At 40.7% G+C, this 7,401-nt stretch overlaps 1 annotated feature.

Annotated features, from left to right (window-relative positions):
* Positions 1-884: an enhancer, noted in NCBI's record as "OCT4-NANOG-H3K27ac hESC enhancer chr8:40932557-40933440 (GRCh37/hg19 assembly coordinates)". NCBI's record gives its function as "activates a minimal SCP1, AML or CMV promoter by ChIP-STARR-seq in primed H9 embryonic stem cells {active_cell/tissue: H9 hESC(primed)}" and the evidence as "EXISTENCE:reporter gene assay evidence [ECO:0000049][PMID:30033119]".

Genomic DNA, 7,401 nt, shown 5'->3' on the forward strand with positions numbered 1-7,401 from the left:
GAAATTTCTGAGGAAGTTTCAAGTGTTATAAATAAAGGGATTATCAGCCTGCCAATGTGGCATAAAAATTACTATAAACTGAAAACATTTGAACAATCAGCAGCCATGGATAAAAACATTATCTAAACTTAAAGAGAGCCTCCAGAAAATACAGCTGCCATTGACCACCACCCACCCCAAAAGGAGTTTCCTGTTTGGGAGAAGTTTGACCCTTTTGGGAGAAGACTGGGGGAAGTGTGAATTCAGCTGCTCATTAGCATGAAAAAGACCAATAGAACCTTTCATGCTTTCTCACTAAAGCCCTAGCCCCTTTCTTCTTTTTTGTTAAGCCAGTATGTAAACTTTTATCTGTGGCTATTCAGTGAGTTACTCATTACTGAGTACTCCCACATGCATAATACATCTTCTCCTGTTAATCTGTCTATTGTGAGTCTTGACTAGTCAGACCTAAGTGGATAGAGGAAAAGTCTCTTTCCCAACATCAATAATTATTGTCTAAAAGAGACTAGTCAAGAAATAGGGAGGTATATCATAAGCATATTGTCTATAGTTATAAAGATAACCAGTAGAAGACCTCAAAAACATATTTAAGAGATTTTTTTGAGGAAATGGGAATGGGGTTTGAGAAGACAGAGGAGGGACAGTTCACATGTTTTTCATCATAAACTCTTCCCTAGTATCTGATTTCTTGATATGCATATATTACTTTGATAAAAAGAAAATGGAAGGAGTGAAATGCAGAAGATAAACTAAAAATAAAATTCTAAGCCCCCCAACTGACTGGATGAATCGCCTCTTGGCCTAGGGGATCCCAGAAGAAACTTGAAAACTGAGTTCTCAGCCATGACAGGATGGAAGGTCGGTCAGACACAACTAGTTACCCCTTCTCCCTCACTAACTTTCTTTTTCTTTTTTCTTTTTTTTTTTTTTTTCAGATGGAGTCTTGCTCTGTTGCCCAGGCTAGAGTACAGTAGTGCAATCTCAACTCACTGCAAACTCCGCCTCCTGGGTTCAAGCAATTCTCCTGCCTCAGCCTCCCAAGTAGCTGGGATTACAGGTGCATGCCACCACATCCAGCTAATTTTTGTATTTTTAGTAGAGATGGGTTTCACCATGTTGGCCAGGCTGGTCTCGAACTCCTGACTTCATGATCTGCCCTACCACTGATACCAACCAGGCACCTGACACTGCCCCTCCCTTTTGCAGTTTCCACAAAACAACCAACCAGAACTCCTTTTTGAAAAGAGACCACCAACCATGAAGATGTTCTGCCCAGTCTACAGGGAATGCACAGTGAGGGTTTTTGTGTCCTCTGCTTCACCTTTTGATGTCAGAGGGCCAAAAACTCCACCCTCAGGTCGTGCTAACACCACCATTTTTGGAACATGAGTCCTGTGGAGATGTGTGAAGCTCCATTGTGCTTATGCATGTTTCTCCTTTCATAAATATTCATGACTCCTCCCATATCTTATTGAATATGTATGTTCAGCCAACCTGCTCAGCATGAATTCCTGATCCCTTTGCTCCTCCCTTGAAATGCCTGTTTCTGGCTTCTGACTGGAGGCTACGCTTCCCAGCATGTCAGAATGGCCACCCTGCAGGTTGCAACCCTTTAAGAGAAATAAAGCTCTTTTTTCCAACTGTATGAACCTTGTCATTCTTCAGGTGACAAGAGGAAATGTGCAGCTGTACATGAAAAAGGTGTTCATATCTTCATATGCAGTCATGTGTCACCTGACATTTCAGGCAGTGATCGATCTACTGATGTCTTGATGATCTTGACCCTGCATAGGCCTAGGCTAATGTGTGTGTCTGTCTTAGTTTTTACCAAAAATCTTTCAAAGTTTTTAAAATTTCATAAATAGAAAAAAGCTTACAGAATAAGGAAATAAAGAAAGAAAATATTTGTGTACAGTGGTACAATGTGTTTGTGTTATATGCTGTTATTGCAAAAAAAGTCATAATGTTTAAAAAATAAAATGTTTATTGTTAAAAACTTACAGTAAGCTAAGGTTAATTTATTATTGAAGAAAAATACCTTTTATAAACTTAGTGAAGCCTAAGTGTACAGTGTTTATAAAATCTATAGTAGTGTACAGTAAAATCCTGGGCCCTCACATTCACTCAACCCTCACTCACTGACTCACTCAGAGCAACTTCCATTCCTGCAAGCTTCATTCACGGTAAGTGCCCTGCATAGATGTACCTTTTTAAAAATCTTTTTTTTTTTGAGACAGAGTCTTGCTCTGTTTCCCAGGCTGGAGTGCAGGGGTGCAATCTTGGCTCACTGCAACTTCTGCCTCCAGAGTTCAAGCAATTCTGATGCCTCAGCCTCCTGAGTAGCTAAGATTACAGACGTGCATCACCACGCCTGGCTATTTTTTGTATTTTCAGTAGACAGTGTTTCGCCCTGTTGCCCAAGCTGGTCTCAAACTCCTGGCCTCATGTGATTTGCCCACCTCAGCCTCCCAAAGTGCTTGGATTACAGGCGTGAGCCACCGCACCCGATCTAAAAATCTTTTATACCACATTTTACTGTACCTTTTCTATGTGTAGGTAAGTTTAGATACACAAATACTTATGACTGTGTTCCAGTTGCCCACAGTGTTCAATGCAGTAACATGCAATACAGGTTTGTAGCCCTGAAGAAATAGGCTATATCATATAGCCTAGGTGAGTAATAGGCTATATACCATCTAGACAAAATGATAAAATCGCTTAATGATGCATTTCTCAAGATGTACCCCATTAAGCGATGCATAACTGTATTTCATCTGGCAGTTTGCTCCTCACTATTCCCAGCCCTTCAATGAACTTTCCATAAAACTCTAAGCACAAGAAATTTACATCCCAAGGGACTCACATCTGGGCAAGTGTCCCAACAGAGTATGGGGTAGATGTGGAAATTGATTAAGATTTCAAACTCCAGCCCAAATGTTAAGTGCATATTCAATTGCAAATGTGCCTGCTTTGCATTCCCTCAGGCACTAGTGTGGTATTCATGTGCTAATCAGAACTCACCAAAACAATGTTGTTCATCAGTAACTAAAATCTGTACAAATTGTTAATGCAGAGAAACTTTCAAGGAGCCAAAAGGGAACATACTTCAAAGTGAAGAAGCAGCTTCTAGTTAATTATGAAAAATGCAATTCCCCACCTCCTCCTCATGTATGCCTTTCTTTGGACTATTGAAGGATTTGTGCACAAGATAAACCTGGGCTTGCAAAGCTTCACCTCCACACAAATTTCCCAGGGCTGTGTTAGCCTCTGTGGCTTTGTTGAACTGTGGGCACTGCCCAATTTCATACACTTGGGCTTTTTTAAAAGAAAATCCAGAAACTTAAGGATCTATCCCCAGAAGTTTACAAATATTCTAGTTCTCAGTACCCTTAGTATCTCAGTAATTTTTTTTTACAGCATCTTAGACCGAAAGAAGTACCTAACAATTTGGTTATTTAAGTAGTTGGTTCCCAAACCACTCAGTACATCTTTATGTTCTAATAACTTAATCACAATTTGCAAAAATAATACTCATAAGTTGAAAGAAAGATAATATTTCATTCTTAACCGCGGCTATGTACTCCTGGGATGTGTGGCTGACACTGCCCAGCTTTCAGACCTTGGAATCGGATGGGACACCTTCACCCTCATTTCCTGTTTCCCATTGATTTTTCACATAGTCCTTTTTTACTGCAGCAACAGAAAACACAACCTTTCAATGATATGATACCACCAAAATGAATTCGTGTACTCAAGCTGGTAACTCATGATGTATCTGACAGATGTCAAGTTTCTCCCAAATTTCACAATTTCCCACAGTGCTCCTGTTGCTGGTGGGCCAGTTAAGGTTCTTGACTTCACCACATAGAAGAATTTGAGAGTGAGTCCGAAGTGAAAATAGGTAAAGAAGTTTATTGCAAAGCGCAAGTACAGTTTGATAGCTGGATCACAGCAGGCTGCTCAAGCATGAGCCTGCACTGTCTGGCTCTGAGGAACTTGCGTTTGTGAGAGATTTACATGATTATTCATAAAAGGACAGGAAGGGCTGTTGTGATTAAGTATGTTGTGGGTGGTTTCTTAGGCTTACATGCACAGTGGCTGTATATGCTAGCCCATACATCACATGTCTCATTAGCATTTTAATTCTCCACCCAAGGATGTGTTTTTTACTATTATAATGAGTGTCGGTCAGTCCAAGGAAACTAATCATGGGTTTCTGCGTTTGTACAAGTTTGGGGATTTTCACTTCTTTTTCTTTACCTCCTTGCTGCAGGATCTTCTAACCAGGAGCCCAGGATGCGTTGTGCACTGATGGGCAGTTTGTTCTCTCCATCTATTTGGCAAGTTTGTTCCCCTTTAAGGGAGGCTGTGATCACCCTACCTAACCTACTTCACTCCTACCAGTTCATTGTGATGCCTGAGATGGGTGGGCACATAGTTTAGGAAGAACTTTTTTTCTTTTAATCTTATAACCGTAAGTTCATAAGGAAAGAACTTTTATCTAAGGCATTCGAATCCTTTTAAATTATCAGGCCCAGAGAGGCATTAAAATGAGACAGCAATCACATCCTACCTTCCCCCTTTTTGAAGCTGTGTATTCGTTTACTGAAATTGCTTGATATTATCACAACAGCATTATCAGGCTATTATAAATTAACCTAATAATGCCATACTGAACTCTATAACACACATTCTAGAGCTTAACAATGTATAGCCAATGAGTAACTTGCATTATTTTAATGTAAATTATTGGTAAACAACTCAGGAACTGCTTCATCTTTCCCTTTAACAATCCATTTGTAACTGCTGCTGAACAGAGTGCATATCCAGAGCAACTGGAATCTGTGATCCCTGGTTGCAATCCTCAAGCTTGGCCCAATAAACCCTCTACTTACATTCCTTTTTGCCTCAGCTTCTTTCTTTCAGGTTGGCACAGAGCTACTCTGTGGTCATACTCAGGTTTTTGGAAAGTTAAATAGATCGTGTCAAGTGGCAGATGATGGGAATTTGGGGACTTCATCTTAATACCAAGTAATCAGGAATTTCCAGAAATCTATACATCTAAATTTTAATGTTATCAGTAGAAGATTGTTATAGCAAAAACTCCTGGATTTAAAATACCTCTTGCGGCCAGGCACGGTGGTTCATGCCTGTAATCCCAGCACTTTGGGAGGCCGAGGAGGGCAGATCACCTGAGATCAGGAGTTTCAGTCCAGCCTGGCCAACATGGTGAAACCCTGTCTCTACTAAAAATACAAACATTAGCCTGAGATGGTGGTGCATGTCTGTAATCTAGCTACTTGGGAGGCTGAGGCAGGAGAATCACTTGAATCCAGAAGGCAGAGGTTGCAGTGAGCCGAGATTGTGCCACTGCATTCCAGCCTAAGCAGCAGAGTGAGACTCCATCTCAAAAAATAAAAAAAAATTAAAAAATAAAGTACTTCTTGCTCTAGAAAATAATGCATATGTAAATATCAAAGAACATATAAACTAGGAGGCATGACAGAGAAAAGATAGCTCAACTCCTCCATTTAAAAATAGAGGGCCCAGCCAGGCACGGTGGCTCACACCTGTAATCCCAGCAGTTTGGGAGGCCGAGGCAGGCGGATCACGAGGTCAGGAGAGTGAGACCATCCTGGCTAACATGGTGAAATCCCGTCTCTACTAAAATACAAAAAATTAGCCAGGTGTGGTGGTGGGCACCTGTAGTCCCAGCTACTTGGGAGGCTGAGGCAGGAGAATGGCGTGAAACTGGGAGACGGCAATTGCAGTAAGCCAAGATCATGCCACTGCACTCCAGCCTGGGCAACAGAGCAAGACTCCGTCTCAGAAAAAAACAAACAAACAAAAAAAATAGAGGGCCGGGAGGTGGCTCACAGCTGTAATCCCAGTGCGAGACCAGCCTGAGCAACAAAGCAAGACCCTATCTCCTCAAAAACAAAAACCAACAAAAGAAAGAAAGAAAGAAAGACAATTTTAAAAAATTCAACTGGTTAGATAGATGGAAAAAAAAAAGTAATTTTTTTTTTTGAGACAGGGTCTCACTCTGTTGTCCAGGTAAGAGTGCAGTGGCACAATCTTGGCTCACTGCAAACTCTGCCTCCCAGGTTCAAGCCATTCTCATGCCTCAGGCCCCCTAGTAGCTGGGACTAAGGTGTGCACCACCATGCCTGGCTAATTTTTGTATTTTTAGTAGACACAAAGTTTTACCATGCTGGCCAGGCTAGTCTTGAGCTCCTGGCCTCAAGTGATCCACCCAGCTTGGCCTCCCAAGTGCTGGGATTACAGGCAAAAGAAAATTTTAAAACGAGAATAACTAACATTGTTTAGCTCTTATATACGTCGGTCACTATTCTAAGTACTTTACTACTGTCAATGAAAAGAATTGAACTCTATAAAGTATTTGAAGAGGTTTATTCTGAGCCAAATACCAGTGACCATGGCCTGTGACACAGCCTTCAGGAGGTCCTGAGTACCTGTGCCCAAGGTGGTTGGGGCGCAGCTTGGTCTTACACATTTTAGAGAGGCATGAGACATCAATCAAATACATTTAAGAAATACATTGGTTTGATCCAGAAAGGTGGGACAACTCAAACCAAGTTGGTGGGGGTGGGGTGTTCCAGGTTACAGGTGAATTTAAAATTTTCTGGTTGACAATTAGTTGAATATGTCTAAAGACCTGAGGTTGGTAGAAAGGGAATGTTCAGGTTAAGATAAAGATTGTGGAGACCAAAGTTCTTTGAAGTCTTATAGTGGCTGCCCTTGGAGACAATAGATGACAAATGTTTCCTATTCAGATCTTAGTTAATCTCTTTAGGATTGGGAGGGTCCAGAAGAAAAAGATCTAGCTTTGTTAATAGAGATTCTTTACAGATGCAAATTCTACCCCCAAAGAACAGCTTTGCAGGGCCGTCTCAAAATACGGCAAAGAAACATGTTGTGGGATAAAATATTTTGATTTTCTTCCTTGTCTCATAATGTTATGCCAGAGTCAGGTTGGAAAGTGAGTCATGGTATACAGGGCTAAATAAAACCCATCTGATGAGAATTTATGATTGGTAGGGCATGACTCCCCAGACCACTTAGATAGGAATTTGGGCCAGATAAAAAATCAGAGTTTAGTCCTGACTACATTAACTCATTAATTCACATTGCAACCTCATGAAATGCTATAATTGTTCTTATTTTACATACGAGTAAACTAAGACACAAAAAGCCTAAAATATTTGCCCAGAAACACACAACCAGCAAGTGGAGGAACAGGCATCAAACTCCAGCCCATCTGGCCCCAAAGCGCAAGTTCTTCTTCAAATGGAAAACAGAGCCTGAGAAGATTTTTCTCTAAATATTTAATTCAGTCCTTAATAATTTACAAAGTGCTTTATTATTTATTTATTTATT

Source organism: Homo sapiens, chromosome 8 (genome assembly GCF_000001405.40).
Source record: "Homo sapiens chromosome 8, GRCh38.p14 Primary Assembly".
NCBI lineage: Eukaryota > Metazoa > Chordata > Mammalia > Primates > Hominidae > Homo > Homo sapiens.